The sequence below is a fragment of the Homo sapiens genome, chromosome 12 (genome assembly GCF_000001405.40).
Source record: "Homo sapiens chromosome 12, GRCh38.p14 Primary Assembly".
NCBI classification, from domain to species: domain Eukaryota; kingdom Metazoa; phylum Chordata; class Mammalia; order Primates; family Hominidae; genus Homo; species Homo sapiens.
In genome coordinates, this window is record NC_000012.12 from 124,752,218 (window position 1) to 124,767,215 (window position 14,998).

The following is a 14,998-nucleotide window of genomic DNA, read 5'->3' on the forward strand; positions in this document are numbered from 1 at the left end:
AGCCCTGTCTGGCTTACAACCTGGCATGTGGGCTTGGGCAAGTCATTTCATAGTTGCCACAAATAATTACCGAGCACCTACTGTATGCCAGGCACCAAATAATTACTGAGCACCTACTGTATGCCAGGCACCAAATAATTACTGAGCACCTACTGTATGCCAGTTCTGGAAGCTGGAGACGAAGTGGGGAGTGAGAAATACCTAGTCTCTGCCCTCTCTGACTCAGCTTTGACTATCTTGAGAGGTGCCAGCCCAGGGGTTCTTTGAGTGCCAGGCTGACCAGCTTCAATGCCCTGCAGCAGGCACTCAAGTTCACAGCAGATGGAGTGATGTGGCAGAGGCACAAGGAAAATGATTAATCTGGCAGCGAAAAACAGAATGGATTCGGCTCAGATGATTAGCAGCCCCAGGAGGGACAAGGAAAAAAAAAAAAAAACCCTGACTCTACGATGGCTCAGCAGAACTGCTCTCTCTAATAAATAATAATTCTCCAGCTTTCCTGCTAACAGTCACAGGCAGGATTTCTCATCTCTATGCCCGTCCCCCACCAGAAGTCAGGCATGGCCGTGTGGCTTGCCTGGGCCAATGAGATGTCAGCAGAAGTGATGTAAGTTGCATCTAAGAAGAAGCTCTAAGAAGCAGTGCACAGCCTGCCTCAAGCCCGATGATGCTCCACATGGCAGAGGCCCCCTCTGCATCCCAGAGTGAGAAGACATGGCACAGAGCCCATTGCCAACACACAGCAGACACATAGCACGGGTGAGAGACAAACGTTGGTTGTTAGAAAACCATGAGATTTTGGAGTTGTTTGTTACTGCAACACAACTGAGCCGATACTGACTGATACATCTCCGTTTCACAGGTGAGGAAACAAAGTGTGGAAGAGATCACCAAGGTTACCCAAAGTCAAACACAGAGTAGAGGCACAGACAAGACTCAAAGACAGGTCTGCCCTTTGCTGCAACCCTCCATTCTGAACAAACCCAGCCAAGCCCCTTACTGCTAACCACTTCAATTAAAGCCAATGTCAAGGCCTCCTGGTTTCTAAATGAACAGCCCTGATCATGTTCGTTAAAGGCCCTGTCTGCACAGACTGCTCATTTTATCCGAAGCCGCCAACAAGATAAATGGCCCTGTAACTTATTGTTCTGCTGCAAAGCACCTCACGGCAAGCGGCGGCACAGATGCCAGGAATAAATCACATCTGATCTTCCGAGAGCCAGGCAGAGCGCCCACGAGGAGTGTCGGAGGCAGGGGAGGTTGGCACAGCCCTGGACCTTGGGGGTTGGAGCAGCCCTGGACCTTGGGGGGATTCACTAAGGAGCAGAGAGCTGCAGGGGTCTTTATTAGGGCCCCGGAGCTCTGGAGTATACATTGTTCTTTTTTATCGGCCCAGCACCTATTTCCCCTTCTTGGGGTTTAATAGCACCCCTTTTTCTCTGGGAAAACCATCTCTCCTCCGCTCTCAGTCTGTCTGGTTCCGATGGGGTCATCCCTTCTCCCAGTTACAGGGAGGAGCATGAACACGTGACCTACCCTGGTCAATCAGAGCTTCACATTCTTTTGCAGCCATGACTAGCTCAGAGCAGGCAGGTGACCCACACCAGGCTGATGGGACCCAAACCTCAGACTTCTGCTGAAACTCTAGGAAAAAAGGAGTTCTCTCTTCTAACAGGTTGCTCACAGAAGGAACTTTTCCGTTGAATTACCTCAGTTTCTAGCACAATTACAGGCACATGGTAGGTGCTTGGTAAAAATGGGCTGGATGAATGAACAATCCACCTGGAGTTAGCACAGCTGGCTTCTTGTCTGGGCGCAGCCATCTCTAACTTCAAGACAGCTTCTTCACCTCTGCAGGTCTCAGTTTTCTTGCCTATAAAAAGGCATTAATAACAGCACTTAGCAGTAGCTGATTATATCAGTTAGCTATTGCTGCCGACATGCTGCGTAACAAAAGATTCCCACCTGCAATCACTCATTATCATTTCCGTGTCTGCCAGTTGGCTGGGAGTCACCTGATCCAGGCTGGGCTGGGCTGCCCACCTGTCTCTCTTCCTCTTTGGATCAGCAAGTTAACCCAGGGCCTGTTTGTCTCACCCAGTGACAGAGGCACAGCATAATACAAGGTCCCTGAAGGGATAGGGCCAATACTAGCACAGCCTCATTTCCATTGCCTTCTTATGGCCAAAGCAAGTCACATGGCCAGACCTAAAGTCAAGAGGTGGGGAAATGCACTCTACTTCTTTGCCACCCGGTAAAGGGCACAGATGTGGGGGGTGGTGAGGAATTGAGGCTGGCTGTGTACCCCCACAATGCCATTGTCTGTGCCTTGATGTTGACTTGATCCGTGTCCACCTCCTTCTCCACTAGAATAAACCTCGGAGCACCTGGATCTCTGTCTGCTTTGTTCACGGCTGTATCCCAGCATCTAGAACGGGGCCCAGGACAGAGTCAATGCACAGCAAATCCTTGTGGAAAGCCTGGCTAGCTGCCCCTGGCCTCCCTCTGCTGTGAGGATTGAGCCAGGTCAGAGACCCAGACATGGCATTGGAAGTTATGGAAGCCCCTCAAAGACTCACGGTGCAGACCCCTGCTCTGGCTTTTAAATATCCAGTGGGAATGAATGTCCCATCTCTGACCCTGATGATCAGCAGTGCCAGGGGTCCGGTTCGGGTGAGGGTTGTCACATCTGGGGAGAGACCTGCTGGCACTGGCCGTGTTTGCACACCCATCTCTCTCTCCTCTGACTCAGTGGTCCTGGAGAGGCCCCCTCACAGCTCAAAACCATCCCCTTGGATCAGGAAGGCACAGGTTTAACTCCATGCTGAGGCCACAGACCTCTCTGGGGTGTGCAGGAAGTGGCCCAAAAGGCCCTGGGGAGAGAACAGTCTGCTGGGGCCATGTGCATGGCCCAGGGCGCCCGAGGCCCAGCCCTGCCTGGGCCTCCCATCCCTGCCCTATGCGGTTTTCCTCTTGCCCTGCTTCCCATCTCTGAGAAGCAGCAAAGTCACCCTCCCCATCTGCCCTTCCCTGGGGGAGCGGTCCCCACCCCCACGTCCATCTGGACCTCAGTGCGGCCATCCCTCCCATGCACAAAGCTCCTCCCAGCCCCAGCACACAGGAAACCTCTCGAGTCTGCCCCCGTGGTGCACACTTCAGCACAAAAGCCTTCCCCCTCTCCAGGCCCAGCCTGAAAGAACCAAATGTTCCTCTATTATGCAAGCTCATTCCTCTCTTCCTGCCGCGGCCGAAATTGCAATCTGTGCGGAGGGGTGGAGGGGGAAGAGCAGGCCTAGGAAAGAGAGAGCTGAACAGCGGCAGAAGGAGCATCCCTCCCACCCTGCTAAACGCCAACTTAGCACCAGCTCCAACCCCTCGAAGGCCCCGGCCAGACACCCCAGCAGAGGGGATGTGGTGTCAGCACCTGTAACCAAATATGAACCCAGTCGTCCCTGTGGTTTGCCCGGAGGAGATAAACTCTGGGTGTATTCCCACAGTGAAGAAGAACACTGCTGCCAGCCGGCCATCAACTACAGTGCTTTCATTCCAGGGGGGCTAAGGCGGTGTCAAAGGCACTGATCACCGGAAAACAACATGTGGGTATTGTGTGTTGAGAGCTGGCTATGCATCAGGCACTGTTGTAAGCACCTTACCCGTTTAGTCCTCACACTCTACGGATAGGTCTTAGTATCACGCCCATTGCACAGAGGAGGAAACTGAGGCTCAGAGTGGGTGGCTTCACGGAGGAAGCATAATCAGGAAGCAGAGGATCTGGGGTCCAAACCAGGCAACCTGACCTCAGATCTGCCCCGTAAACAGCTGCTCTGTTAACCCATGGATCGGCATTTGTGTTCCACAGGCCTTTCCTGCAAGCCGAAAAGCCACACCATCTAAGATCCAGCAAACCCACTTCTGGGTTTTATTTATTTATTTATTTATTTGAGACAGGATCACACTCTGTCACCCAGGCTGGAGTGCAACAGCGTGATCATGGCTCACTGCAGCCTCGACCTCCTGGGTTCAAGTGATTCTCCCACTTCTGCCTCCCAAGTAGCTGGGACCACAGGCATGTGCCACCACGCCCAGCTAGTTTTTAAATTTTTATTGGAGACAAGGTCTCGAGATGTTGCCCAGACTGGTCTCAAACTGCTGGGCTCAAGCAGTCCTTCTACATCTGTCTCCCAAAGTACTGGGGTTACAGGCTGAGTCACCATGCTCAGCTTCCACTTCTCGGTTTATATCCGAAAGAACAGAAAAGAGAATCTCAAAGAAATATATGCACACTGAAGTTTATAGCAGCCTGATGTGTTGATTCACAAGAGCTCAAAGGTGGAGGCAACATAAGGGTTTGTGGATGGATGGATAGATGGATGGATGGATGGACGGACGGACGGACAGATGGATGGATAAACAAACTGTGGTCCATCCATACAATGGAATATTATCCAGCCAGGAAAAGGAAGAAAACCCTGTCATGTGCTAACCCAATGGATGAACCTTGAGGACATTATGCTAAGTGAAATAAGCCAGTCACAAAAGGACAAATACTGTTTGATTCCACTTAGAGGAGGTAGCTAGAGTCATCAAATTCATAGAGACAGAAAGTAGAATGGCAATTGCCAGGGGCTAGGGAGAGAGAAATGGGAGTGCTTGTTTAATGGGGACAGAGTTTCAGTTCTGCAAGATGAAAAAGTTCTGGAGATCTGTTGCACAACAGTGTGAATGTACTCAATGCCCCTGAACTGTACACTCGAAAATGGTTAAGATGGTAAATGTTATGTTAGATGTATTTTGCCACAATTTTAAAAAGCGGAACACCATCATTGTTGTCACCATCAGAAGAGTTGCCATGCTTGGACGGCACCTTTTGGACACCCACTGCACTGTTGTAAGGACTTGACTTAACCTCCCTGATAGATTGTGTTGATGGCCCCAAGTTTATACCTCACCCTGTATGCATGCCCTTTGCTGTGTGGCTTTGCAATTCCTCTCACCAAAGAGGTAAAGTTACTCCCCCACCCCTTGAATCTGAAATGGCCTTGTGACTGGTGTCAGCTGATAAAAGTAACAATGTGCTAGTGCCAAGGTGGGCCTTGAAAAGCCTGGAGCAACTGCTTGTACTCTTCCACCTCTGCCATCATCTCAGATCCTACCCAGGCTAGCCAGCTGGAGGAGAGATGTGCAGAGCAAAGCAGAGCTCTCCCAGCAATCCCAGCTAAGGCCACCCTGGAGCAACCAATAGCCAGCCACCCCCAGACATGCAAGCGAGCCCAGCTGAAACAGAAGAACCACCCAGCCGAGACAGAAGAACCGCCCAGCCAAGCCCAGCCTCAATCACTGACCTGCAGATGCATGAGCCTAATAAATGATTATTGTTTGAGGTCACTGATATTTGAGGTGATTTGTTATGCAGCATTATTTTGTCAATAGATAACTGATACAAACTCATATAAAAGGCCCCATCTGTTTACTCGCATATTCAGGTGTTCCAACACAACCTTGTGAAACACCCACTCTGTAACCAGGGATAGAGCTTCAGCAAAGCCTTCGTGAAGCCCACAGCTCAGAAGAGAGAGAAAGATTAAGACCCAAGTGCTCACTACACGTGATTAAGTGAAGAGCCCAGGCATAGCCTATGGCAAGAGCACACAGCCAAGGCTTGAGAGATCAAGGAAGTCTTCCCGGAGGAGGAGTGATCAAAATAGAGGCCCGAAGAAGAAGGGGGAGAAGACAGATTGGGGGTTGCATCCAGGCAGGAACAGAAGAAGTTCCGGGTGGAAAAAACAAGGATAAATGCCGTGGCTGGGTGGCGGGGAGTGCGTGGATGTCACAGCCTGGCTGCTTGGAAGAATTGCAAGGCCTTTGGGAAATTTGTGCTGGAGCCGGATCATGCAGGGCCCTGTGCCCCCCATTTCAGAGCTGGGACCTTATTCTGAGGGCCTGGGGGATTTTAGCCGGGAGCTACATGAGCAGATTTGCACTTGAGAAAGATCACTGAGGCAGCAGTGCAGAAGAGATGTCAGCCGAGCATGCAATTAAGCAGGGCAGTGAGAGGCGAGGTCCCTCCTCCACACTGCAGTGCAGATGCCCCCGTCACCAGGAGTCGCCAGCAGGCGACCGGCTGTCTCCGCTGCCCTTTCCAAAGCTGGCTCCCTCTTGGGCAGCGATGCAGAAACGGAGGTTGACCAAGGGTACGCCACTCCATCATTAGCCCGGCTCCCCAGGGACTCACGCAGTGGCAGGAAGGAGGACTTCTGCCAACTGTCAGCCCACTCCCTACCCAATCAGCGGGGCCGCCAGCTGCAGAAGATGCCCTGCCCAACCGGAGCCATGACGCCCCTGGGGCCACCTTCAACGCATCAGTGGAAAACAAATTTGCTGATCCCAGCCCTGGCCGAAGGCAGCCAAAATCCTCCTGCCAACCCCATCAGCATGTCGCCACCTGGTCAGGCAGCCGGCGCCCCTGCCCCAGCTGGCCTCCCCGCACCGGCGAGACCCCTCATCCATCAAGCAGGATCATCCCTTGGCATCCATCACTCCGGAGAAGAGAAATAAAGACATTGCCATATCGTTGAACCAGGATTGATGTCCCTGCTGTGAAAACAAACGTCGCGTCTTCCCGCCAACATTTATTTTTGATAAATGCTGTGACTTTGCCTTGACATTTCAGAAGCAGCAGGAGACCATTACCCGGTGACAATGTTCTATTCCACTGACATTATCTCTTAATTATAATATGCAAGTAATGCTGAAAAAAATGGCCCATAAATAGCTCATTTGGAGTTGCTGCATTCTGCCCTGTCAGGGGACGCTGAACGATTTCATTCAGCACTTGCAAATGAGGGGAGACAAATGGATATCTGGGGACCTTGTGTGTCCTGCCTCCTCAATGACAAAGCTTGCAGGGTGGCAGAGAGGTGGCAAGGAGGTGAGGATTTCAGGGCATCTGCTGGGCTTCCACCAGTCTCCAGGGTGCCCTTCCCCATCCCCCAAATCAGAGGGCACTTCACTCCCACCACCAATCAACAGCCTGCCAACTCCAGTCCTGCAAAAACAGTTTAATATTTAGTGCAGAGGGACAGGCATTGATTTTTTTTTAATCAGGAAATTAATTGCGTTAAGAGGCACGGAGGTTGAGGGAAGGGCCACCTGGAGGAAATCCCATTTGGCAACTCATTTGGGTTCTTGAGGGCGGATGAAACAGTCCCCAAAGTTCAGAGAGAACGGGCTTCTAGGAGAGGGTCTGCAGGGACGAGGCAAACAGAGGCTTTGGGATGGCTCAAGAAAGGAACAAGGACATCCCGTGTGGAACAGCAGACGTGGCTTTTAGAGACTCAGCAGAGAGAGGACAGGTGCGGTGGCTCACATCTATAATCCCAACACTTTGAAAGGCCAAGGTGGGAGGATCTCTTGAGGCCAGGAGTTTGAGACCAGCCTGGGCAACATAGCAAGACTGTATCATCTCGATTTAAAGAAAGAGAGAAAGAGAGAAAGCAAGAGAGAGACCCACAGTACAACCAAAAGTCAGCACTAACATTTATGGGAACCTGACACTTCTGGGGACAAGAAGGGGCAAGTGAATTTATGCTTTAAAAATCATCATGGCTCCAAACACAGACCAGTAAAAACAAAAGCTCCAGGCCAGGGTTTCTCAACCCTGGGCAATTCTGCCCCCCATGGCACAGGTGGCAGTGTCTGTAGACACTTTGAGTTGTCATAACTGGGAGTTGGGGTGGCCCTGGCACCTCGCGGGCCAGGGATGCTGGTAAACACCCTAGAGGACACAGGGCGGCCCCACAGCCCCAGCGCCAGCAGAGCAGAGGCTGAGTGGCCCCGGTCCAAACAGCCACACAGGGAAGTGGTTGATGGGTATTTGGAGAATGTTAGGTGCCTTGACGTGGTTGAGAAAAGTCTAGACATACCAGATAGCTGTCAGCTTTGGAAGAAGATGTGTAAATATTAAATATGAGGCTTTAACATCTGAGGATCTCTGCTAAAGGGATGGAAGACTATGCTTTCCAGACTGGCAGGGGAGGGGAGGAAGTGAGGAGGCCAGCCCCAGCTCCGTTAAACGCCAAGAAGGGGAAACATCTTCCCATCAGCGCTTTGAGGAGGTTCTCCTTCTTCTTCATTTCACAGATGAGGAAACCAAGGCTCCGGGAAGACCACGTGCCCAGGCGCCATGGTGGTGAGGGCAACCGAGGGGTTCAGCCTTGGAGTCAGACGGCAGCCTGGGCTCACAGGCTGGTCACCTTGGGTGAACGACCTGACTTCTCTGGGCCTTTGCTTCCTCACCTGTAATTGAGGCTGATATGCCCACCGTGGAGGCTGCTGCAGGGATGGGCTGGGCTCACACAGCTCCTCCAGCAGGGAGACAACGCAAGTCCGATGGTTCGAGGCTATCATGAGGGGAACTACCGACCACACAGGCAGGAAGGTCAGGGAGGTGCTGGGGCTCAGGGGCCAGAACGGTAGGGAGCTGCTGCCCCCACAGCGGAAAGGAATTTCACCTGCAGGCAGGGGAGAGAGGGAGCCATGGAAGGGCCTCCCAGCAGGGGCTGAGATGTGGGAAGGGGACAGAGCTGGCCCCACGGTCATGGTCACTGGGCACCAGCCACAGCCAGACCCCCAGAAGCAGGGAGGGCTCTAGGGGCTGAATACTCCAGCCTCTCTGCTTCCTACCCAGCCTGACGCCAGAGGCGTATGGAGTCCACAGGGTCCCCTTCCCCATAGAGAGTGTGGAGCGGGCACCGCAGGGGCCTCTGGGAGAATAACCAGCAGCAGGACAAGCGCCGCACAGGCACCAGGAAGGGGAAGGGCACCAGCCTATGGTTGCAAGAAGCAGCAGGAGCAATGGAGCACAGACCGAAGCCCAGCTCCCCAGGTTCAAGTCCACATCGAGCCCTCCTGGCTGTGTGACCCATGCAAGTGGCTGATCCTCTCTGTGCATCAGCTGCCTGATCCATATAATGGGGTAAGGCTGGCAATCACCTCTGTGGGCCACTGCGAGCGTGAAGCGAGGGAAGGCAGGTAGAATGTATAGCAGGGCCCAGCACACAGTAGGTCCTCAACTAGGCAAAAATCATCCAAACCTTCACTTGAGATCAGGAGTTCAAGACCATCCTGGCCAACATGGTGAAACTCTGTGTCTATTAAAAATACAAAAATTAGCTGGGTGTGGTGGCGCGTGCCTATAATACCAGCTTCTTGGGAGGCTGAGGCAGGAGAATCACTTGAACCTGGGAGGCAGTGGTTGCAGTGAGCCAAGATCGCACCACTGCACTCCAGCCTGGGTGACACAGCAAGACTCCATCTCAAAAAAAAAAAAAAAAATCATTCAAACCAGAAAGAAGAATAAAAGATGGCCCCAGTGGGGGTTGGGGGATGGTCTCTGGAAGGGAAGGGGGCTCAGGACGCCTCCAGTATTTTGTGTGTATTTTCCCCTTGTTCTCAAGAATGCCATGAGAGCTCAGCCAAGGGGACACTCACAAGCTCTGGGGGAGACCTGGGTTGGGATCCCAGCGGCCTCATGACCTCACTGTGCAGCTTTCAACAGCTCATTCAGCCTCTCTGAGCCTTGGTGTCCTCATCTGTAACAAGGGGAGAACTTCTCCTTGAAGAATTTGTGTATGGAGGGAAAGACGCAACAGAAGGCAAGCACTAAGCACATAAAAGGCACTTGGAAAATGTGAGCGCCCTTTTAGAAATTCCCAATGTCTATTTTAACCACAGCCCTGGCTGTTGCATCAAAGAGTGGAGAGCTTGGCTGGAAAATGTTACACCTTTAGGTGTTCAGAGATGTGTGGTGACTTCCTCCCCCAGCTTCGTGCATGTGTGTCTTGTACCAACTCTTTTCAACCCACTCCCCAGGCAGTCCGTGCTGGCCTGGTGCCATCACTGACATCACTGTGGGCAGCCTGGGTTGACCTGGCCTGAAACCCCGTAGTCCTCACAGTCTGTCTGCTGCCTTCTCCAAAGGGAGGGGCTCCCCACACCCTGGTTTGTCTGCCACCAGTGGGATCTGCAGATCTGACTTTCAAGGCACTGTGGCCCCAGAGCAAAGGGAACGGCTCCTTTTTCCTTGGGCATGCAGCTGAGGGCAGAGAATAGCTACTCTGTCACTGGAAGGGATTTCTATGACAGCAGAGATTTGGGTCTGTTTTGTTCAATCCTCTCTCCCCAGTGCCTAGAACCGAGCCTGGCCAGGAACATGTGTTCCATAACCATCTGCTGAATGAATGAAGAGGAAGCTGCCATTTACCGAGTACTTGCTATGAGCCAGGCACTGTGCTAAGCCCGTTCAATGCATCGTTTCATCGACTCCTCCCTGCCCGTGCAGAAGGTGTGTCAGTCAGGGAGGTCTAGGTCATGCTGCAGTAACAAATAATCCCCTAGATCTCCATAGCTTGAAATAACAAAAGTCCGCCTCTTGCTCACGCTGCAGAAGCCAGCTTGGGCTCTGCTCCATGTAGTCCTCATTCTGGGACTCAAGGCAATACATCCACCAATGTCTCAGACATTGCCTGTCACCATGGTGGAAGGAAAGAACTCTGAACCAGCAACTAAATGCTGCAGCCCAAGAAGTGAGCTGAGTGATTCTTTGCTGTCAGCTCATCAGCCAAAACGAGTCACAAACGCAACCCCCCATCCACAGGCAGGCCAGGAAGTGCTATCCCCCTGTGTGCCCAGAAGGTAAAAGTTAGAACTCACGGCCACCACAGTGGTGTTTTTATTATCCTCATCTTTACTGATGAGGAAGTTGAGGCTCAGAGAGGTTAAGTGACTTTCTCAAAGTCACACAGCTAGTGAATCATAAACCCAGGATTCCAACCCAGTTCTCTATGACTCTAGAAGCTAGCGTCTTAGCTGTTATCATTCGAAGCCCTTCAGTAGGATCTGTTTAGCCCCGCTCATGCAAAAAACACCACATTCAGTGAATCAGGCTGATGAGGTATAGCCACCCACACACCTCCAGAAAGAGGTGGATAGCCACAGACGCTTAGACTCAAGTTACACACCTAAAAGGCAGAGGCAAATACCACCTCAAAACTGACAGACTGAGTCCTGGCCAAGACATGTTTCATTTGGCCCACATGGTATTTTTTTTTCTTGAGACATAGTCTTGCTTTGTTGCCCAGGCTGGAGTGCACTGGCGCAATCTCAGCTCACTGCAGCCTCGACCTCCTGGACTCAAGCCAACCTCCCGCCTCAGCCTCCCAAGTAGCTGGGACCACACGTGTGTACCACCACGCCCTGCTAATTTTTGTATTTTTTATAGAGACAGGGTTTCACCATGTTGCCCAGGCCAGTCTCGAACTCCTGGGCTCAAGCAATTCACCTGCCTCAGCCTCCCAAAGTGTTGGGATTACAAGCATGAGCCACTGCACTTGGCTGGCCCATATAGTATTATAATTGGAATTTGTTGCCAATAATTAAAACTCAGGAGATTTCACATTTTAAAAAACCACATTCTCTTCTTAAAAAAAAATAGACGATCTGGCAACATTGGTCTGCATTCCCTTGAGGCAGTAATCAGTTCTGCAATCACAGGAAGGCAGCCTGGGCCGGAGTGCAGAGGGAGGGGGTGTCATTACCCCAGAATCCAACACACAGAATGCCACTGTCTTTAACCACAGGTCTAACGCCTCACTTTCACACTTTAACATGTTTTCATCATGGTCTTAACAATAATGGTGTTGGCCGGGCACGGTGTCTCACATCTGTAATCCCAACACTTTGGGAGGCCAAGGTGGGTGGATTAATTGAGGCCAGGAGTTCGAGACCAGCCTGGCCAACATGGTGAAATCCCATCTCTACTAAAAATACAAAAAATTAGCCAGGTGTGGTGGTGCACACCAGTAATCCTAGCTACTCGGGAGGCTGAGACACAAGAAGAATAGCTTGAACCTGGGAGGCAGAGGTTGCAGTGAGCTGAGATCATGACACTGCACTCCAGCCTGGGTGACAGAATGAGACTCTTTCTCAAAATAATAATAATAATAATGGTGCCAACAGTGTACCTTTAAAAGTGATGAACAGGTGCCACTTTGGGGAGGTAAGGCATCAGCTGTTCCCACACCCACCCCCTTGATCTCTAGCCATGCTTGTGGGTAGGGCATGCCTTTACCCTATAGCCAGTCGCACAAACTACCCTACCACTCAATGAACAAGCACCTGGCCTGTTGGGCCTATTTACACTGCCTGCCCAGTTCTGTAAGCATTTGAACTTGCCTCCACTGATCCACATGCATCCCTCCATTTAAAAAAACTAGTTTTACACAATGTACGATAACCACACTACTCCCATGTGCAAGAACGCTCATGATGTGTTTGACAGTGGCACCTGCTGGTGATGTGTGGTATTACAGCTCAGCTCCACTAGACCTTGTAAATACTTAGCTAAACTGGGTCGTGGATGTTAGGGTTTGTTCCAAGAGTGCTTTATGACACATTTGAAAATCTTCCCAAACTATTTTCAACTGAAAGTGCATAAAATGTTTTTCTTAATGATCCTCATGAGAATCTGAAATTGATGGGGCAGGAATTAGAATTCCTGTTGGACAGAAGTGGACACAGGCACAGAGGGGTCAAAGTGACTTGCCTGAGGGACACAGTGAATCCAATCTTCTTCAGCACACAGCTCTAGCTTCCAAACCCTGCCATCTGCCTAATCTCCAAGGCTGACATCATGAAGGAAACTATGTCCTTCCCTCAAACAGCTGTTACTGCCACAGACAGAGAGACCACAGGGCCAAGCACACCACAGTGCATGACCAGAGATGCCAGTGTTTAATCTCAGAGTCCCTGTTCCCTGAAATGGAAGAAATTCCTGTGGCCCAGAAAAGAACAGATGAGGCTGGTCATAGAAGCAGAGGGAAAATCCCAGAGACCAGAAGGGTGTTGCACAGTTCTGAGAAACCACTGCAGGCCCAACCACAAGCCTCAGGCTTAATACCTTCCATGCCAAGTTGTTCCAGTCCATCTGCAGAGATGTTTTCCCAGGGGAGTGGAAGTCCCATTTTGCAATGGAAGCTGAGGAGGTAAGTGAGATCTGGTTTGCAGAAACATGTGCATCATGGCCAATGTTGCTCAAACATCTGTTCCTGAAAGGGGGAAGAAAAAAAAAAGCTCCCTCTTAAAAGCCTCCCTCTGCCTCAGTCGAGGACTTCTAAATGCTATGAAGTTTGCTAGGGCTAAGGCTTCATGGCAAACGTGTTGTGAAATCTGGAAACACTCATGACTCCAGAGATATTTGGCCTTTATGCTCAGACCCTCCATCCAGCCTAGCTCCCAAGACTTCAGAGAGGAAAGTCAGAGAAACAGCCCCCACCAGGGCAGTGCACCTTATTCTTCCCTCAGCCAAACCTCCAGGCTTCTCCCTCCCAGTTCTCCTGCCCTCTCTTTCCTGTTTTGTTGTGGGTTTCGGAGATCCAAGCACTATTTTTAGACATGTTTATTCTTACTCCTCTTCTTCCCCTCCCATTCTTGACCTCTCTGGAATGAGCCTGGATGCTCCCCTGCCAGGGGCTTTTCTGGAGTGATTGGACACATGCTTGGTATGCGGGGGGCCTCTTTCTAGATGGAGCTGGGACTGGATTTGGGGGAAATGAGCCTTGCAACCTCCTTTCCTCTCCCAGGCTCCTCAGAAGCTCTAGAGCCAGGACCTGTGTGCATTCATTGCCTTTGCCTGGAAATTATGTTTCTTGAAGCTGGGTTCCCAAGTTGAGTTTCACTTGGGATAAGGGATAAGATAAAGTGGGATGCCTCAGCCAGCACCCACAGCAAGCTCTGGTTCCCAGTCAATGAGGAGGTATGCAGAGTAGCTGATAAGCATGTATGCCCCCCAACCAGTGGCCAATATTCATATCCAGACTCCGATCCTTTCCAGCCATAAGACCTTGGACAATGACCTCGCCTCTCTGTGCCTCAGTTTCCTCATCTGTAAAATGAAGATGATGATGATAACAGCACTCGCCTGGGTTATGATGAAAACTAAGTGAGCATATGCCAAGGGTTTAAAATAGTGCACGGCACTCAGAAAGATTCAATGAATGCTAGCAACAGTCTGTTCCAGGAGAGCAAGCCAGGATGCCAGAGCTGAGCTTGCCTGACTGGGCTGGGAGTGGCCGGCATTGAGATTTTCTTTTTTTTTCTTTTCTTTTCTTTTTTTTGAGACAGAGTCTCACTCTGTCGCACAGGCTGGAGTGCAGTGGCACAATCTCAGCTCACTGCAACCTCCACCTCCCGGGTTCCAGTGATTCTCCTGCCTCAGCCTACCCAGTATCTGGGATTACAGGTGCTCACCACCATGCCCAGCTAATTTTTGTATTTTTAGTAGAGACAAGGTTTCACCATGTTGGCCAGGCTGGTCTTGAACCCCTGGCCTCAGGTGATCTGCCCACCCCGGCCTCCCAAAGTGCCGGGATTAGGGGTGTGAGCCACCGCGCCTGGCCCAGTGTTGAGATTTTATATCTTCTGGGCATCTGAGGTTTGGATCAGGATTGCCCATCCCTGGGAGACCACAGCCAGCCATTTGGCCTGGACTCTGAGTTCACAAAAACACCACAAATCAGATTTTGGAGAAGATCTTGAATGTACTGTCCTAGAGCCCCACACCACCAAGATTAAAAGAACTGTGATAATTTCCCCTTTCTAAATCCTGCCCTCTCTGGACATGGTTCATTAAGAATTTTGCAAGCCTTGTAACTTCACAAAAATATATTGCATGACTATTTCATGTATGGAAGCTGTTAAATTTTTACATGTAAACATACAAGAGAACATAGTTCTTGCAGCCTTAGTTCATCAGTTTTTCATTTTTTATCTTTGCTATGTCCAGAGCCTCAAACAACAGACGTTTCCCAGCCCCTGGGACCGCCAGAGAGACCCGGGCTGCTGGGGCCTCCCTGAATCTGGGGCCGCCCTGAAGGCTGGACCCACAGCGCCCCCTGGCGGCCACAATCCGCACGTGCAGCCTCTGGCAGGCCCTGGGCAGGTC

General features: G+C 51.1%; 5 annotated features.

Moving 5' to 3' along the window:
• Positions 3,036-3,938: an enhancer, noted in NCBI's record as "NANOG-H3K27ac-H3K4me1 hESC enhancer chr12:125239799-125240701 (GRCh37/hg19 assembly coordinates)". NCBI's record gives its function as "activates a minimal SCP1, AML or CMV promoter by ChIP-STARR-seq in naive and primed H9 embryonic stem cells {active_cell/tissue: H9 hESC(naive and primed)}" and the evidence as "EXISTENCE:reporter gene assay evidence [ECO:0000049][PMID:30033119]".
• Positions 3,308-3,397: an enhancer, noted in NCBI's record as "active region_7299". NCBI's record gives its function as "activates an Ori minimal core promoter by ATAC-STARR-seq in GM12878 lymphoblastoid cells {active_cell/tissue: GM12878}" and the evidence as "EXISTENCE:reporter gene assay evidence [ECO:0000049][PMID:35858748]".
• Positions 5,882-6,383: an enhancer, noted in NCBI's record as "H3K4me1 hESC enhancer chr12:125242645-125243146 (GRCh37/hg19 assembly coordinates)". NCBI's record gives its function as "activates a minimal SCP1, AML or CMV promoter by ChIP-STARR-seq in primed H9 embryonic stem cells {active_cell/tissue: H9 hESC(primed)}" and the evidence as "EXISTENCE:reporter gene assay evidence [ECO:0000049][PMID:30033119]".
• Positions 6,384-6,883: an enhancer, noted in NCBI's record as "H3K4me1 hESC enhancer chr12:125243147-125243646 (GRCh37/hg19 assembly coordinates)". NCBI's record gives its function as "activates a minimal SCP1, AML or CMV promoter by ChIP-STARR-seq in naive H9 embryonic stem cells {active_cell/tissue: H9 hESC(naive)}" and the evidence as "EXISTENCE:reporter gene assay evidence [ECO:0000049][PMID:30033119]".
• Positions 8,468-8,968: an enhancer, noted in NCBI's record as "H3K4me1 hESC enhancer chr12:125245231-125245731 (GRCh37/hg19 assembly coordinates)". NCBI's record gives its function as "activates a minimal SCP1, AML or CMV promoter by ChIP-STARR-seq in primed H9 embryonic stem cells {active_cell/tissue: H9 hESC(primed)}" and the evidence as "EXISTENCE:reporter gene assay evidence [ECO:0000049][PMID:30033119]".